The sequence below is a fragment of the Homo sapiens genome, chromosome 9 (assembly GCF_000001405.40).
Source record: "Homo sapiens chromosome 9, GRCh38.p14 Primary Assembly".
Classification (NCBI taxonomy): domain Eukaryota; kingdom Metazoa; phylum Chordata; class Mammalia; order Primates; family Hominidae; genus Homo; species Homo sapiens.
Genome location: NC_000009.12, coordinates 118,942,060 through 118,961,672, shown reverse-complemented (window position 1 = coordinate 118,961,672; position 19,613 = coordinate 118,942,060). Strand labels below are relative to the sequence as shown.

The window sequence follows — 19,613 nt, the reverse complement described above, 5'->3', positions numbered from 1 at the left end:
ATATATATATATTTATGTGCTACATAAACATAGACATAGATATATAGGCATAGATATATTATATACTATATATACAACATCTTATATATTATATATACAATATATCCTATATATACATACTATGTATGCATATATACATTTATATATATATATATATATATCTCCTAAATTTATTATGGAGAATCAAATTATACATATCTGTTAGATATACATAATATATAGGTAATATCATGAATATATATCATCAGCTATAATAATAATCTTAAGAGGTATATATTGTTATCATTTTACAAATAGCCCTGCTTAAGCTAAGGGACCCGTAAGATCTTGTTTACAATTGTGCAACCATTTAGCTAATGTTTAAACTAAAGTTCATCTTAAATTAAAACTTAAGCTCGTAACCAAAAAAAATCACCTCTTAAAAATTATTTGGCATAGTTGGAGACCAGCCTGACCAACATGGAGAAACCCTGTCTCTACTAAAAACACAAAAATTAGCTGGGCGTGGTGGCACATGCCTGTAATCCCAGCTACTGGGGAAGCTGAAGCAGGAGAATCGCAGCCGGGCGCAGTGGCTCATGCCTGTAATCCCAGCACTTTGGGAGGCCGAGGCGGGCAGATCACGAGGTCAGGAGATCGAGACCAACCTGACTAACACGGTGAAACCCCGTCTCTACTAAAAATACAAAAAATCAGCCAGGTGTGGTGGTGGGTGCCTGTAGTCACAGCTACTTGGGAGACTGAGGCAGGAGAATGGTGTGAACCCAGGAGGCGGAGCTTGCAGTGAGCTGAGATCGCAGCACTGCACTCCAGCCTGGGTGACAGAGCGAGACTCCGTCTCAAAGAAAAAAAAAAAAAAAAAGAAGAATCGCTTGAACCCGGGAGGCGGAGGTTGCAGTGAGCCAAGACCGGGCCACTGCACTCCAGCCTGGGCAAGAAGAGTAAAACACCGCCTCAAAAAAAAAAAAAGTTATTTGACATCTTTTAGAATCCTGGATAAACTGTTTATGGATCTAGGAAACTAATTTAAATTCTGACTTTGTTATATTGCCTATATGTTTTGAGAACCATGAGAACTTAGACATACATTATGCAAAGAAAAAGAGAGGAAGGTTAAGACAACTGTGTAGGTTCTCAGTAATGAAAGTGCATAATGTTTATACAATAGTGAAAGATATAGTTTAATAGAACACACAGTTTTGGAGGATTGGGGACAGAGTTACTCCCGAGAAAGTGGCAGAGTTTAAGACTAGAAACTAAGGCTGGAACTTGACTATGAAAAATTTTGAATTCGACGCGAAGAACTTTGGACATTATATTTCCTTGTCAGTAGGAATAATAACCAAACAAATGACATTTGTTGAACATTATCCATCAAGTACTGTGTTAGGTTTTTTATATGTTATCTCTATTTTTTCAATAAACACTGAAATATAGCTTTAATTATTGGTGGGGAAACTGAGAATTAGAGGGATTCAGAACTTTTCTAGGAATTACAGAAGATCTGACAGGACAGCAATCACATCCTACTTTCAGAAAATGAGGTATCTTCATGGAAAATGAGACATTAGAGGTCAACCCTGAACAACTGGAAGTATTTGAACATAAGAATATGAGAAGACATAATTCTAGGCTAAGGGAACAACCTAAAAGAAACATAGACATAGAGAATTAATGAGGCACCTAAGAGTTTGGGGAGGACAGTAACCTAATATGTAACCCTGAAATTTCTTTGTAAGGTGAACTGCAAGATGAAAACTTGCTCAAATATATTCTTCTGAGTCTATATGCATTTCTTTTTTCCATCTTGCTGTATAGGCTTCATAGAGGAATTTAAACAAGATTTCCTATTACTGAATTGGATTAACATCTTTAAAAACAGCTGTATCTTTATCAAAAGACAACATAATATTAATTTCTCACTGGTCTTGGGAACTCATGTAAAATGTATAGGCTGATTTTTAATTTTCTCGAGTGCAGGTGGCATGCTGTGGTGGGGGTGGCAGTGTGGAAGGGGAGGAAATTTGTAGCAAAATCAGTTAAGTCACGCAGACCCATGCATGGAATGACCTTGCTTGTGTGCCAAACTTCAGGCAGAACGGTAATGAGAAGGTAGCAGAACTAATCAATTTGGAACAGGGCCCATTCCCTCCATCAGTCGGGCCACTTAGAATGCAGGCAGTGTCCTGAGATTTTCCCCAATCTTGCCCTTTGAACACAAACACAATGCCTTCTCTTACATAACTCAACAGAAAATGTAGATTTGCCATCTAAAATATAAGCAGAATTTGTGTCCATGCTAACGCAGCTATTTTTTTTTTTTTTTTTGTCATTACCCTTTTTCTTCTTCAACTTTCCCCCTTTTCAGACCTTATGGAAGATTTAGTGCATTGTGCTAAACCTAACTCCATGTCTTTGATGACCCCCAGAAACCAAGAGTACTTCAGGTATCCTTCTCATAGAATATTTGCATGTTTTCTCTGAAAAAGTATCAACTTTCCCTGATCCTCATTGTACTCATCTATGAAATGGAGACAAAACAGAGCTTTTATGCAGATTGAAAAAGAAAATGTATATAAGGTACCTATTAAGATTATTTATGAGTGTGTTTTAACCCTTCTCCCCAGATAGATCTGCATTTGAAACATAGTTTTAGCACTAACTTGCTAATCTTAGGCAAGTTTCCTCATCTTTTTGAGCCTTGATTTTTGCCCTTTATAAAATAACGATCATTATATCAATCTTGTGAAATTGCTGTATAGATTAAATGATATGATATTTATGACATAAATATTTAGTTGTTACTCACCTCTGTAATTTCTACAGCTCTTTTGAAAGTACATATGACTTGTACAATAGTGGGATATTAAGGAATGAAAACCAATTCAATAATTCCAAATTAAGGCCAAAGGCCTGAAGTCTGGAGTTTCTTTTAATATGTGCTGCTCCATCTCTCTTGTAGGTGAATATATATTTTCACTTTCATGAGTGCTTTTGTCATTGGTTCCATTGACAAAAGCCCAATAGAGCCCTCCTCCCTAGAATTTGCTTGAATCAGGGGCTTAAAGGATTCAGAATCTCTTATATTTAGATGGTATCAAGCATCTTCGGTTAATGGTTCTGTTCTGTCATGCCCAGACAGCTATAGCAAAGATTATAATTGTTCCCAAGATCAGCTAAGAAAATGCATTAGATTACAAATAGAGAAGCTCCTCTGCTTAAGGACTTTCTTTTTATTATGATTATTTTTCATTTCAACTATTTTTTTTTTTTTTTTTGGTTCAGGAGGTACACGTACAGGTTCATTCCATGGGTATATTGTGTGATGCTGAGGTTTGGGGTATGAATGATACTGTTATCTAGGCAGTGAGCATTGTACCCAACAGGTAGTTTTTCAACCCTCTCTCCTCTGGTAGTCCCCAATGTCTATTGTTCCCATTTTTATGGTGCTTAAGGACTCCCAAACTAGATAGGGAAAAAGTTTTGAATCAAAGTAAAAACAGATAATGTATTTGTCCACCACTAACGGTTGGAGTGTTAGCCTACACAGCATCAAATAAGGCTATGAACAAAAGAATGTTCTTTCAAACACAACACAGCTTTTGAGAGAGAAGTCTCAGTGCTTGTAAATTCTCTGGAAACACACAAACATACACATTTTCTGGATTTTCGTCAAGACAGTTGTGTCTCAATCATGCAGAAAATGACACTAACGTGCTTTTTTCATTTGCAGTTTTTTTCTGGACTACTTTCGAGCTAATGATAGAGAGGCTGATAAACTTTAAGAGACTGAGATGTCCCCTAAACACTAACACAGAAAGAAGTTATGGAACAAATGAATCATCATGTGTAGTTAATTAAGGAGAAATAAACCAGTACGCACTAAGTTTCTACCAGGCTCCTCTCTTTTGGGTTCTATGCCAGGTTCTTTTCACATTTATTCCATGTGATCATCACAACTCCATGAGGTCAGAATCTTTGTGGACATCTTATAAATGATGATTCAAATGCTTGAACCTTAGGTTAATGATGATTTGACTCATTGGGATTTGTTGTCCAAGCATAGAGATACAATGTGTACATCATTTTCTAAGGTTGATAAGTTCCGCTCATTAGAGGACCTTTTATTTAGCTGAATAACTGTGATGACTTTGGATGAGCACTATTGGAAACAAGAGATCATTCAGAGTTGAATTATGGCATCTAGTACAGGAAAGAATAATATAAAATGCCTAGAGAAAAATATTGGAGAGATGAGCTCTAAGTAAATTAGAATGATATTTTCTTGCATTCAAAAAGGAAAAAGAAAGCCCCAGTGATAACGAGTAGAAAAGAACTTCAGAGAAGTTGTATCTTTACATGGGGATATTTTTAAGTTGTCTGCTTAAAGATGTGTGATGTAATCTCATCCCTGTTCATTTTTCATACAATTTTTTTAGTTAAATATGTGCTGTTCACCAAATCTCTGGTACAAGTGAATCAGTTAAAGGATTTCAGGAGGGTCCAGTTTCTGAATACAATTGTGTTGCAAGATAAAACAGTATCTTCTGTGAAACATGCAGCCATGAAATAACACTTGTAGTTATGAAGCTAGGGTTCCAGGGGAAGACCTAACATGTGTGTGTCAGGGTTATATATTTTCAACATCTAGCACGTGGTTAAAAAATACAGCTCTCAAGATATATTGAGTTTAATTGAATTAAACAGATTTAAAAAACCTAGAAAGTGATGAAAATCAAGAATTCCATTCAAGAACAAAGAGGATGTTATTTAAACAACCATTAGAGTTCTTGCTTTCTTCATCAGTGAGATTAGATTTTTGGAAGATATGCTTTCAAAGACCCCCTTAGTTCTTACATCCTTTATTTCTATAGACATGTCAGTTTGTCTTCAGACGCAGGCAAGGTCATTAATCGCAGGGCCTTTTCCAATGTGGTAAGCAAGACACCAGAATTCCTTATTTTGCAGAAAGCACTATATTCTATATTTCCAGTATGAGTTGGAATTCTTATCTTGGCAGATCTGTTCATTGGTCCCAAAGACTATCCAAGGAGAAAGTGATATCTGTCAATGATTTCTTAATGCCAAATGTTATATCCCAGATATGGTTTGGCTGTGTCCCCAAGCAAATCTCATCTTGAATTGTAACTCTCACAATTTCCATGTGTCATGTGAGGAACCAGTAGGAGGTGATTAGATTATGGGGGCAGGTCTTTTCTGTGCTGTTCTCGTGATAGTGAATGAGTCTTACGAGATCTGATGGCCTTCCCTGCACAAGCTCTCTTCTCTTGTCTGTCACCTTGTGAGACATGCCTTTCACCTTCCACCATGATTCTGAGGCCTCCCTAGCCAAGTGGAACTGTATGCCCATTAAACCTCTTTTTTTTTTGTAAATTGCCCAATCTCGGGTATGTCTTTATCAGCAGCATGAAAATGGACTAATACAATCCCTCTCTTTTCCCCATAGTCAAATAAATATGCTGGTATCTTCAGCCATTCCTTTATTATTTTACTCAAACGTTTATTTTTTGAGTATGTATTATGTGCTAGGATCTAATCAAGACATAGAAGACTTAATAGTGAAGTGATAAAGACATTGTGCTCACAAAGCTTACAGTTCATGAGTATTGAAGACAAAAACAAAGTAAAGGAATGAATGAAAAAAAAATAGGCTCAGATCATTTTAAGTGCCCTCACACAGGGTGGTAAGATAGAGAGTGAGTAGAAGGGATTACTTCACATTGGGAGATCAGAGAAGGTCCCTCAAAGAGTTGACATCTGAGTTGAGACCTGAGTTTTGAGAAACTCATGAAAATACCTAGGTGATGGGTGTTCCTGGAGAGGGAACAGTAAGAGTAAATGCCTTAAAGTGAGACGTTATCCCTGACTCCTCTATTGACTTTCAAAACCCAGTACTGTCTACCACTTATTTTTGACCCTATTTATACTACTCTACTTTTTCCTTTCTGTTTCATAAAGGAATTGTCACTTTCTAACATGCTATACTCTTTATATTTCCATTTTCTTTATTGTTTCTCTCTCTCCCCTTTCTGGGATTTAAGTTCCAAGAAGATAGGAAGCTTGATCAGTTATGTTCACCGATCTATCTTCAACACCTAGGAGAGTTCCTAGACACACGTGTTGCTTAACTTTTTTTTTAGTGAATGCATGAAAAAATCAATAATAAGTGGTTAGTAATGGAAACTGTTTAGGAACAAAAAGAAAGGCAGTGTGACTGACACATTGTGAGTACAGGGAAATATGGTATGATAGGAAATAGAGATGGTAGAATAAATCATGCACAGCTGTGTAGACCATATCAAGGAGTCTGGTTCTTATTTTAAATGTGTTCATCCTCTACCAGAGAGTTTTGAGTGGGAGAATAAAGAGATTGAATTTACATTTTTAAAAGATCACTATGGGCACTGTATGAAGGATGAATTTTAAGGCATGAGGGGAGAAGCAGAGAGATCTTCTAGGGAGTGAAGACATCGTGATGCATAAGCCCATATCCTCAGGCTTAACGGATTGCTCACTGTGAGCTATTCTTCAAGTACAATTTGCATTAGCTTTACAGTAATGCATTATGGGGGATCTGCCAACTTCCCTTCTCCTGGCATGGTCAAAGGTAACAGCCTGGGGCTCAGTACAGAGCTAATCTGATAGAGCATCTTTTATGCCAAGAAAACATAAACATATGTCAGAGATGCAGCCTTGATTAAAAATACATGGACACTCTGTGGTTTTAAGCTGATAACATATGGCCTTTGATTGCCTGGCATTTTCAATTCATACAAGAACATTATGGTGCTGCATTATGGATTAGAAGACACATTTCACTATCTTAAACAGAGGGGCTTTATAAGTTTTTGTTCTTCCCATCCCCATCCTCCATCACTTCCCCCCACCATTTCTTGCTGGGAGATTGAACTGTTCAATTAAGTCCTGATTAACTGTACTTCCAATTTTGTCATGAGAGTGAGTTCCACAGCCTTGGCTGCTGCCTTTTTTAGTGAAAATGAGGGCTGGCTATGCAGTAAAGATGAAGTGTCCATGCCATCCAGCTCTGTTTGGTGGAAAGTTCTCTTCCATGTTTCCCTCACTATTCTCCACTGCAGCTTTAACATCCTCACTCCAATCAAGAAAAAGTGAATTAACCAAGTTTTATAAAAAGCATCTGCTATATGCATTTTCTGTTTTTGCTTAACACTCACCAAAATATTTATCTGCCTTTCTGATTATCAAAGGCAAGACAGGGTAGTGATCATGAATATGGACTCCATCATAAACACACACACACATATGCATACATAAACCACACACAAACATTGGAATTGTGGGTCTATCACAAACTAGCTCTGAGATCCTAGCTCAAGTAAATGGATACCTTTGATTCTCAATTCTCTTTTCAGTGATGGGAAGAATTATAGTTCCTTCTTGTTGAGAGGATACCAGGAGACCATGCCATGAGGTAATATTGTATAAAGGGCTTAGCACAGTGCCAGCGAAATAGTAACTCCATTAAAAGTTCTGGCTGCTATTATTCTTCAATATTTCTGTATGTGCTCTACACATATTAGGTGCTTAACTAACATTTTTTAAGTTAACCACTTAAGGGAAGTCATGATTCATTATTAGCTGTAGGTATGCCAATTCAATTCCTTCTCATCTGTGATTGCTTTCCATAACACACCAATCAAAAACAGTGTTTCTGTCCTTCTCTGGCTTATATTTCTGCATTCGTTGTGCACCCAAAATGGCATAGGAATTAACACCACCAGTGTGGAAGCCAAACTGCCTATGTTTGCATTTGGGCCAAAACACATTCTAGCTATGTGATGTGTTCTGAATGTTGGCATCCCCACAGCATTCATCTGTTGAAAATCAATTTCCAATGCAACAGTATTAAGAGGTGATGCCTCTGGGAGGTGATTAGGTCATGAGGGCTGTGCCCTCACGAATGGGATTTGTGCCCTAGTAAAAGAGGTTTTATAGAGCTTGTTTGTTCCCTGTGCTTGTGAGGCTACGTAGAAGGCACCGTCTCTAAAGCAGTCAGCCCTCATCAAACCCCAAATCTGCTGAAACCTTGATCTTGGACTTCCCCACTTCCCAAATGGTGATCCATACATTTCTATTGTTTATAAATTACCTCGTTTAAGGTAATATTTTATAGTAGCCCAAACAGAGATATTGTGAGACCTTGCAGAACTCCCATAACCTGCTTGAACTGTGATTTTTTCATCTAGAAAATGAAGGTAGGCCGGGCGCGGTGGCTCACGCCTGTAATCCCAGCACTTTGGGAGGCCGAGGCGGGTGGATCATGAGGTCAGGAGATCGAGACCATCCTGGCTAACAAGGTGAAACCCCGTCTCTACTAAAAATACAAAAAATTAGCCGGGCGCGGTGGCGGGCGCCTGTAGTCCCAGCTACTCGGGAGGCTGAGGCAGGAGAATGGCGTGAACCCGGGAAGCGGAGCTTGCAGTGAGCCAAGATTGCACCACTGCAGTCCGCAGTCTGGCCTGGGCGACAGAGCGAGACTCCGTCTCAAAAAAAAAAAAAAAAGAAAAGAAAATGAAGGTAATAGTGCCATTCACCATATATGCTTGCTGTGAGGATTAACTAGATAATAGCTGTAAAAGCCTTTGAACAGAAACTGGATTAAAGTAAGTGATCAATAAATATTCTCATTATTGTCATCATTATTATTTTCTATTTTTCCCTCTGATAGCTCCTATACAGACTTGAAGATGAGTATCATACTTTAAATGGGTTCTATTTCCTCTAAAAGAAGCTTGCACTTCTAATATATGTAATATTCTTGTGGTAACAGTAGGCATGTTCTGTTACCAGGGGCGACTGGGAAAAAGAGCGACCACCATGCTGGTTTGCTTATGTCTAAGTATTATCACTGAAAGTCCTACATTTCGGAAAATCCCTCCGTCCTGGGACAGCTACCCTGGTTAGTCATCTTGGCAGGCTGGAGGAGATTAGGGTTTATAAGTTGACCTATTTTACAAAGAAAAAATGGAACATGGGAAGAGGATGGCAATTGGACTCAAATGTGGAAGAGATAATAAATATTTGTTTATCAGGAAAGCAGAATGTGTGAGAGCTATGGTAATGGCAAACCATCTACTAGGTGAAACCTTGATTCTAGAAATGTAAGGAAGATAATCAGAGTAGTCCAAATAAAGGCAGAATAAGGGGATTAATGCTAATTGAACACTGCATCTTTACATATGTGAAATTAGGTCCATATGCTTCTAAACCAATCAAGATAAACCAATCAACAAGAAAATACTAATTGACCACATGTTATGTACCAGGCTTTTGCTGGGCTCTTCACATCATCTTAATAATTTTTCCTAACAATCCAGTGTACTTGTTAGAATACCAATATTACAGATCAGAATTTTTAAGGGTGAGACCCAAGCTTTAGTTTATTTTAAAGCTCCCCAAGTGATTCCAATATGTACCCTCGTAGGTTTCTAATTTAATTTATCTGAGGTGCAGCATGGGCACTGGGATTTTAAAAATATTCCCAGATGTAGTCAGTTGAATAATATTTCTCAAAAATTTATGTGCTCCTAGAACCCAGAAATTGACCTTATTTGGAAATAGGGTCTTTGCAGATGGAAACTTAAGATGTAGATGTTTTGCCTCGTAGATATTAATGTTAAGATAAGGTCATATTGAGTTAGAGTGGGTCCTAAATCCAATGACTGGTGTCTTTATAAGACAAACAGAGGACAAAGAAATACATACACAGGAAGGAGGCCATGTGACAATGGAGGCAGAGATTGGGGTGGTGTAGCTACCAGTAAAAAACAGCTAAGGATTGCCAGGAGCCACAAGAAGCTAGGGGCAAGGAAGGATTATTTTCTACAGTCTTTACAGAGAAAGCATAGCCCAGCTAACACTTCAAATTCAAATTTCTGGCCTTCCGAAGTGTGAAAGAATAGATTCCTGTTGTTTTAAGACAACCAGTTTGGGATAATTGGTTATGGCAACCATAGGAAACTAATAATATCAGGTAATTCTAATAACGACTGTTGTAGGTGGCTCACCTGAATCACATTAAGTTTGCCTTTTCCTCCTTCATCAGGGCATAAATTCCCTCTACAATGTCTCTCACAGCTGCCCTCAAACAGGGCACAACAGCTACTTTTAAAAGACCCCATATGACCCTTGTAGGGCAACATGGACACTTGCATTTCAGGAATCATGCACCCAATCCACATCTGCCCCTATAGATTTGTTCCCCTTTCTTTTAAAATACTCCCTCTATAAGTATTCCGAAGAGAAAATTTTCAAAGAGAAAAGCACAATCATTACAGTTGAGAAACTGCTCTTGAAACTTATTAGCTCGTGACTCATACTCATGAAAGGAGCTAATACCTTAATTTTATATTTCTCTGCTCAAATGCAGACCAAGGCGTAAACTGAAATGAAACTTTACACTAATGGCTTCTTAATTATACCCATCTAAAAGCAATTACCTGAGTTTTAGCAGATACAAAGTTAGGGTTGATGGGACCAGCAGATGAGAAATAAGATGAAAGGTCATCTGCAAAAAAAAAAAAAAAATCAGCGGAAAGGAGATAAAACACAATGAGGAGAAAAAAAAAATTGGAGATAAGTAAAGGTTGATAAATTCCTAACAATAGTTTTGCCTCTTTTCTGAAACAAGTTTGCCCCTCTGTCCCCTAACTCAGAAATGAGACAAAAGAAGAAATGTATTATTTCAAGGGAGAAACTGACTAGATAGGAGACCTTGATCTCTGAACTATGATTACTTCATGCCATATTTTGAACCAAAATTTACTAAATTGTAGAACCGGGATTTTAAGACTACAGTGATTGAATATACATTCTTAGTAATTTATTCATTAAAAAGGAGCACACATAACATGAGCCTAGTTTGCAAAATCATACGTAGCATTCATTGTGTGTTTATCATGTGTGTGCGTATGCACAGGCATAGAAGAATTTCACTAAAATTTTCAATTGTATTCTGAGTGGCAGATTTTGATGGTACTCTACTTTATGCCATATGCTCTTCTGTTTGAATTATTTACAATGAGCATACATTTATTGTGGATGAAAAGAAAATTCTAAAAATAACAATCAGATATAAGTAAGCCCAATGTAGTAGAAAGAAGTCAAGTTAAATTGATTTTATTTCTCTCCATTAAAAACTGAACTGACTCATCGATTTGAATCTAGGAGCAGGCTTGACACATTTCTCAACATAGAGCAGGGTCTCAAACTGAGGCCTGGGGGCCAGAATCCATTCCATAGGGCACATGTTTTATTTCAGTCTGCAAAGTCATCAAGCATTTTAAAATGTTAATGCTTTTGGATGTCCTCTTTAGTCTAATTTGTCCCCTTCCTTCCTTTTGTTCTATCTTCCTTCCTCCTTTCCATTTCTCTCTGTCTTTTACAAACACACTGAGTTCATTTCACTTACTTCTTTTCAGTTGCCTGACTCTTACTACTTGGGTTTGCAGCCCTCTACAGTAAGATGGAGTCTGACTGTCTATTCTCCTTTTGAGGAATAAAATCAATATAGGCATAAATGAAGCAGTCTTCAATAAGAGTGATAGGTCTTCCAGCCCTTCATAATTTTTCTACTTTTTCTCTCATACTTTAGTCATTTGAGCCATCTCTTCATTATTTTTATTTCAAAAGCTGACATTATACCTTCTCTGTAGCCAGAAACCAGTTATAGATGAAGCATCATGACCACGATACCAACTTCTAATTAATGATGCCCATTCAAAAACCTGCATTTTTTGCAATGTTTCTAGATTTAGAGTCAATAGTAAGAGTTGGTTTACAGTCAGATAAGATCCCATGTCCTATTGCAGCATTTAGATATTTTTCAACTTTGTGACAGAATTCAAAAGACACGAAAACTTTTCTATCAACACCAACAAAATTAAAAACAAAGCTAACATATGTTAGTTGCTTTCTATCCTCCCTATTCTATTAGTTGCTTTGTAAGTGATCATTAATTTTAATTTTCATAAGAATCCTCTGGAGCAAGTTTTATTCCTACTTTACAGATGAGGACATTGACACTTATCGAAATAAATAAAATTCTGACAACAGCACATCTTTAAGTGCTAGCAAAAAAAAAATCAACAACCTAAGTTAGTCTGATACCAAGGCATGAACAATTTCCCTAGGTAGACTCCTGAAACAGATCTTTGGAAAGTGGTGTGCTGGAGCTGGCTGGCCTTGGCTTACAAAATCTGATTATGTGCATCCATTCCCCAGTCCTCAGTTCAGTGATGTCATGTTGGTAGCTTGAAATTAGCCACGATGGGAGTATTTACAGCCTGGAAATTGGCACATGCTAAAAATCAGATTTTGCGGGGGAGAGGACTTGTCAAACACTTACTGGCATACCACTGCTTCTAAACTAGAATAAAGTTCCTTTCATTCACTGAGTTTTTTGCTAAGGCTCTACTGTTTGTCAGGCATATGATTGACACCAGAGAGATAAATGGTACTAAGATGACTCCCGATTTCAGAAATGCACAGGTTAGTAAAATTTGACATCAAAGAAAACCAAAGATCATGATATCAAACAAGCATCAAAGCAAGAAGTTAAAAGTAACCTCACTATGCCATAAAGAAAATAAGGATTAGAGATTTTTTAAAGTAAATTACAGATCGTAAGTAAAACTCTAATAAGAATTGTTAAGATGAATTCTACTTATTTACCTCTTTAACTTTCAAATTATATCATATCCAGTTCAAATTGACTGAAGCCATAAGGCTTTAGTCTTTTGTATTAAGACTTTTTTATTGCTGCTTTTTTGACTGTTTTTGTTGTTGTTTCTTAGTATGTAACATGTAGAAATATACACTAACTTTTTTCTTTGAAATGTTTTTTCTCTCTAAATAGATCTATTCTTTTATTTTCATCTTCTCTTTTAGTTATAAGAGTGAATATCATGTCCTCAGGAAGGAATTTTATGATCTTCCACATTAAGACATTCCCATAGTCACCTATTCTCATTTTGCTGTGTTATGGATAGAATTATATTACTTTCCCATCCTCTACCCCAAAATATGTTGAAGTTGGAACCTTCAGGGCCTCCAAATATGATCTTATTTGGAAATAATATTTTTGAAGATGTAATTAGTTAAGTTAAAATGAGCTCATTAGAGTGGGCCCTAATTCAATATGATGTTTTCTTTTTAAAGGGGAAGTTGGACCCAAAGACACATACACACAGAGGGAAGACAATGTGAAGACAAAGAGAAGACTGTCATGAAGGCAAAAACTGTGGTGATGAATTTACAAGCCAAGGAGTGCCGAAGATTGCCAGCAAACCACCAGCATCTAGGAGAGAGGCACGAAATAGATTCTCCCTCACAGCGCTCAGAAGGAAGCAAGTCTCCTGACACCTTGAACTCGGCCTTCTATCCTTCAGAACTGTGAGGCAATAAATGCCTGTTGTTTAAGATACCTACTTGGGGGTCCTTAGTTATGGCAGCCCTAGTAAACGCACATACTCTGTTTTAATTTTATCTTTCTGTCTACTTTCTTGTTTACTTACAGTCATGTGTCACTTAACAACCTGGATATGTCCTGAGAAATGCATCACTAGACAATTTTGTCATTGTAGGAACATCATAGAGCTTACTTTCACAAACCAACATGGTACGGCCTACTACACACTTAGGCTATATGGTACAGCCTATTGTTCCCTAGGCCACTAACCTGTACAGCATGTTATGATACTGAATACCGTAGGCAGTTGTAACACAATGATATTTGTATATCTAAACATCTGTAAACATAGAAAGAATGCTGTAGAAATATGGCATAAAGGATAAAAAATGATACAGTATATGGGACATTTATCACAAATGGAACCTGCAGGACTGGGAGTTGCTCTGCAAGAATAAATTATTAAGTTCTGAGTGAATATGAAGGCCTAGGACATTGCTGTACACTACTGCAGACTTTATACATGCTGTTCACTTAGGTTGCACTAAGTTTATTTAAAAATTAAGTAATTGCACTATAATGTGGGTATGGCTACACACTAGGCCAGAGGAATTTTTTTTAGCTCCATTATAGTCCTATGGGACCACCATTGTGTAGTTGACTGAAACGTTGTTATGCTGCTCATGACGATTTATTTTACTCTCTCCTCACCTTGGGTCGGGGGGACTTCTTGTTTAATGCCACACCTGGTCCTTGATCATTGTCTGCCACATGATTAATATTCAGAAAATGTTCTTGGAACCAATAAAAGGGAGTTTATTGATATAGCTTAAGGAAAAGCTAGAAATATATTTTTAGATTTGTAGGTAAGTTTTGATGAAGCAACTTGATGATGTCACCAAAATCTACTCTCTTTCTCTCTCTCTCTCTCTCTCTCTCTCTCTCTCCCTCTCAGTCTCCTGGATAGTGATATCAGCTTTGTCCTATGTCTGGCTTCTCTAGTGGAAACCAGATTGCTCCAACTGCTCCAGATTTTATTAGTCAGGATTTTTAGTTATAAGCAAAAGTGGCTAACTCTAAAATAAATCTTCTAAAATTAGAAAAGATTTCACACGATTTTTGGGGGAACCAAATACAATAGATAGTTGCTCCCTTGGGCTGCTTGCGTCCATGTTCAAATTCAGCAGAAGAGAAAACATGGACTTCTCTGCTAACACAAATGAAGATCTGGACCTCATTCTCACTTGCCTTCATTGGCTAGAATGAGGATGTCATGGGTTCATCCTGGGTCCAGTGACCATATTACTGTGGCCAGGCGCAAGGGGTAGAGCCTGAAGATGGGGTCATTGCCACCAAACTCAAAGACTTACACAGGCTAACTGGGGAGTTTCAGCCTGAAGACAAAACCGAAAATACTCTCCACATTTTCCAAATATAGAAAGACATTTAAAATGTTTTGAGCCACCAGCCACCACCAGCATTACATGCACCAAACAAACACTTACCAAGTCTGAACTGGTGTATTTTCTCTGCTTTTCTTCCAAGTTCTACTCTTCCAGATTAACTAACTACTTTGTTTACCCTGCAGAACCCAAATTCAAATTAAACTGACACTTGCATTACTTACATTCCTTTTTCAAAGTGTGGTGACTCAATAAATGGATTTGAATGGTTTGAAAAGATTTTCCACCTCTCAAAAGCACCCAACTGACCCTTTAAAGATACAAACCTCTGTTCAAAATGGATAGATACCTGAATGTGGGTCTTAATATATAAACCAACCATTAAACATGGTTCTATCTACAATTCAGAAGAGAGAAGACAGAACATTTCTCAATTTATTTTTTCTTATTGTTGTGGAGGGAGGATTATTCCCTTCACCAATTGGTTTCATGTTTTTAAGTTTTCTTGATTGATGCTCTGGGTAAAAGCTTCAAATGAACAAAATTTCTGCTAAAAGCTGTACTTATGTGATTCTCTCAAACCACTAGCATTTAAAGGCTAGAAAGCACTGGTTTCTGGGGTATAGAATAAAAGGATTTAAGAACACAATTAGTAACTTGTTCCAGCAATTAGAGCTGAGTTTAATTACAAACTAACCTCTTGATAGACCATTTGACAGTCAGTGTGAAGTGAGAAAGAGATCAGAAAACTGCTAGAAGCAGCAGCAAAAAAACTTTCCCACATATTTATTTTTGCTCACATTATCTCCAGGCCTGGTGTTGCTTTTATGAGAGAAAGGTAACAGATTTTGTTCTTTAAAATGTGTTTCTTTTTATTTTTTAAAAAAACTTGGCAACAGTGTTTTATTTTTGCATGCTTTCTCTTCCACCAATCCAAGAGCCAAGTCAGGACCCTGGATTTACTGCTCATCTCACACTAGTGGTACCCAATGTGTCCCCTCTCCATCCCCAGAGACATGTCTCCTTAGTGGGGAAGAGGGCAACAAGCCTACTCAGAGCTTAAGGTATTAAAGTTTAATGGGGCTTAGAGATTATCTGGCCCAACTGAGACATATTACAGATGTGCACTAATGAGTTCTGGAGAGGATGCACCCGGCTCAAGATCATGGGGCAGAGCTTGGGCTAAGTCCTCAACACATGATTCTATAGGCTAAGTGGGGCAAGGGCCACTCTTTGGAACAAAGATAGGGTTTATAGTTCCTGCGGCTGCTTTGGAGCTATTTATTTTCTTCCCGTTAGCATTTCCCAAAATGGGGCCCTCAAAAAGATAAATAGGAGGTCAATTGTACAACGGTGCACTTTTTTTTTCCCTTAAGTACCAGGACTCAGATCCATTTACTGAGCATGTTGCATTGCTACAGCTCTATGCAGAGCCGTGCTGGCTCTGTGCACACAGCCAGTTACATCAGAGGCAGAACCGAGCTAAGTGGGAGACAGCATGTGGTTAGAAATTAGGAGAATTGACATGATGTCCTATTCTGCTATTTTTTAGCCATAAGCAAGCCCTGTCACCTCACTTATATCATTTCCCTTGACTTCTGAATGGGAAAAAAATAATTTCTTACTCAACATTGCATGTGTTAAGCAAATATTACTGGGCACATACAATGTGCTAGATACTGTACTAGATTCTAGAAATATGATACAAATGAAACAAAGGCCCTGAACTCACAGAGCTTATCTTACAACCTGAGAAGGCCTCTGACAAGGTGACTGTTTCAGTAGAAGGATAAAGAAAGTAAGGGAATGTGTCATGTGACAAGTCAAAAGAGAAGCATTCAAAGCTGAGGGATTAGATTGTGCTAAGTTCCTGATGCTGGACACAGCAGGCATGACTGATGCAGAGCAAGAAATCCATAATTTTACATGAATCAAAGGCTGAGTGTATAAAATAAAAATGAAAAGTTTGTAAAAATCTATGCTAATAATATACAGTATAATTCTTATTAATGAAATCTATGTTCTGTTAAGATTATATACAAATGAGTCGTAGTTTTCTGATTTTTCTAATTCTCTGAAATGAATGCATAATACTTATATTATTTATTTATTTATTTTTGAGAATGAGTCTTGCTCTTTCACCAGGCTGGAGTACAGTGGCGCGATCTCAGCTCATTGCAACCTCTGCCTCCCAGGTTCAAGCAATTCTCCTGCCTCAGCCTCCCGAGTAACTGGGACTACAGGCACCCACCACCACGCCCGGCTAATTTTTGTATTTTTAGTAGAGATCGGGTTTCACCTGATCTACAGGATAGTCTGTATCTTTTGACTGTGTGATTAGCCTGCCTTGGCCTCCCAAAGTGCTGGGATTACAGTTGTAGCCACTGCGCCCGGCCTATATAATTTATTTCTTTAAGCAGTTGTTAAAATTGCAAAATATGAAACCAGTAAACACTGTGCTGGTTTGAACACTTTGAACACCAGCACTTTGGGATTTCAGGTGGAGGTGAGAGGATCGCTTAAGGTTCAAGACCAGTCTGGGAGATATACTGAGACCTCACCTGTACAAAAAATTAAAAAAAAAAATTCTCCAAGCATGTTGGCATGTGCCTGTAGTCTGAGCTACTTGGGAGAGTGAGGTGGGAGGATTGCCTGAGCCCAGGAGAGAGGATCACTTGAGCCCAGGAGGCTTCAGTGAGCCGAGATGGTGCCACCACACTCTACCCTGGCTAACAGGGCAAGACTCTTCCTCGAAACAAAGAAACAACAAACATTGGCCCCTAGTGTACTAATTTTATGTTTGGCAGAATCTTAGTTCCCTGTTCTCTTTGGCTAATTTACTGTTTATAGGATGGTTTAGCCTAATCTTCCCAGTGCTTGGGTTACTTTTAGCTAGGAGATTCTTTGAGCAAAGAAAGAGTTGGGAAGATCCTCCCTTACCTGCCCCCATCTCCTTTCCTAACTCTTAGTAGTTTCTGCCAAGGTTCCTGAGTTCCCAAAGGTTCTCCTGGGTCACACAGCCTGAAAAGATTTCTTGGGCTAAGCCTAGAGGCATTAGCTTGGTACATAGGCAGCAGAAAGCTGCACAGCTTATTTCCCTTTATTGTAATGACATTGTGATGGAATTACATATACAACTTCCACCAAATATTGTTTTTTGTTGTTGTTGTTGTTGACAGGGTCCTCCTCTGTTGCCTAGGTTGAGGGGCAATGGTGTGATCCCAGCTCACTGCAGACTTGACATCTCAGACCCAAGAAGTCCTCCCATCTCAGCCTCCCAAGTAGCTGGGACTACAGGTGTGCATTACCACATGCAGCTAATTTTTTAAATGTTCTGTAGAGAGAGAGAGAGTCTAGCTATGATGGCCAGGCTGGTCTCAAACTCTGGGTTCAAGTGATCCTCCTACCTCAGCCTCCCAAAGTGCTGGGATTACAAGTGTGAGCCACTACTCAGGACTGCTTGCTTGTTTTAATCTACTGCACATTATGTACTCTTTTTATTTTATTTTGTTACGTTTATATATCATCTGGTGGACACAAAATATCAAGATTTAGCTGCTACCCTCAATAAGTTTACAAGTAAATAAAATGATGCCTTATTAGCAGTAATGATATTATTTGCATTAATTACCATATTGATAATTTATAATCAAAGATGTCAAACATTTATTGAGAAATCAGGTTCCCTTTACATTCTTTAACTGAATTATCAAAGTAACTCCATGATGGGCATTGTAATGCTTAGATCACAGATGAGAATAATGAGGAAGAAACAGGGTAAGTAACTTGTCCAAAGTCACACACCTTCTAAGTGTAAATTTTCATAAATAAGAAAGTGTATTCTGGAACAGTTAAGTGACTTAAACACAAATTTACCCAGCAACAAGTGATAGACCCAGGATTCAAACACCAAAATCATGGCTTTAATTCAAGGGCGCACACACACACACACATACACACAAGCCTGGGGAAAAATGTGCAAAGAAAAATATAAATTAGAAAATTATGACTCAAGATATATAACGGAATAGTAATAAATTTTCCAGGTAGCTGAGAGATTATGGGAAGCACTTGGAACTCCAGAGATCTGAGATCTAATCAAGCCCCTGTCACTACGACTGTAACTACTTTCTTAAGCAGAAGGTTTGGGACATAACGGTACCTTATCTTAGCACCTCAGAGTCATGGTTATGAAAACTGACAATTGCTCTTGCTGTGATGCAGTGAAAACCTCAGGATCCACCAGTTTGTAGAAAGGTGTATATTCCTGTATTGAGTGGACTAAAATTTACCTGTTTTCTATGTTTTTTGCCTATTGGTTTTGTTTGCCTCAGTGTCCATCCTAGTTGCCAAATATTCTATAGTCACTTTTCATCTGTCAGAGCCAGGAGGGAAAGGAGACATTCCCCAGAGAACCTGAGGAAAAACTCTGTGTGTGTGTGTGTGTGTGTGTGTGTGTGCGTGCGTGTGTGTGTGTCAGAGAGAGAGAGATAGTTTGAAAAAAAGGATAAAAAATTGCCATTTTTATGATTTGTTGTCTCTTTGTTAAATTTTTTTGTTCCTTTAATTTTTTCCTGTGAAAGTATTTACTTTGACATTTGAAGTGCTATTAACCAAGATTATGAAATTTTTATGTCTATCCAAAGGGTAATATGGGTTTCAGGAAGACTGAGAAATATTGTTCCAAGATGGCATCCTTGTTTTTGTGCTAAATGTGTGGCTTGACTTTGTTGTGTGCTTCT

At 37.9% G+C, this 19,613-nt stretch overlaps 1 long non-coding RNA gene across 1 annotated transcript in view; it reads right to left on the bottom strand.

Moving 5' to 3' along the window:
* LOC101928849 (uncharacterized) overlaps window positions 1-19,613 on the bottom strand; it is a 128,376-nt gene that overhangs the window by 18,757 nt on the left and 90,006 nt on the right. Inside the window, exon 5 of the long non-coding RNA XR_001746918.2 lies at window positions 10,500-10,567. This is a non-coding gene — a long non-coding RNA (uncharacterized LOC101928849). The remainder of the gene's footprint in view (window positions 1-10,499; window positions 10,568-19,613) is intronic.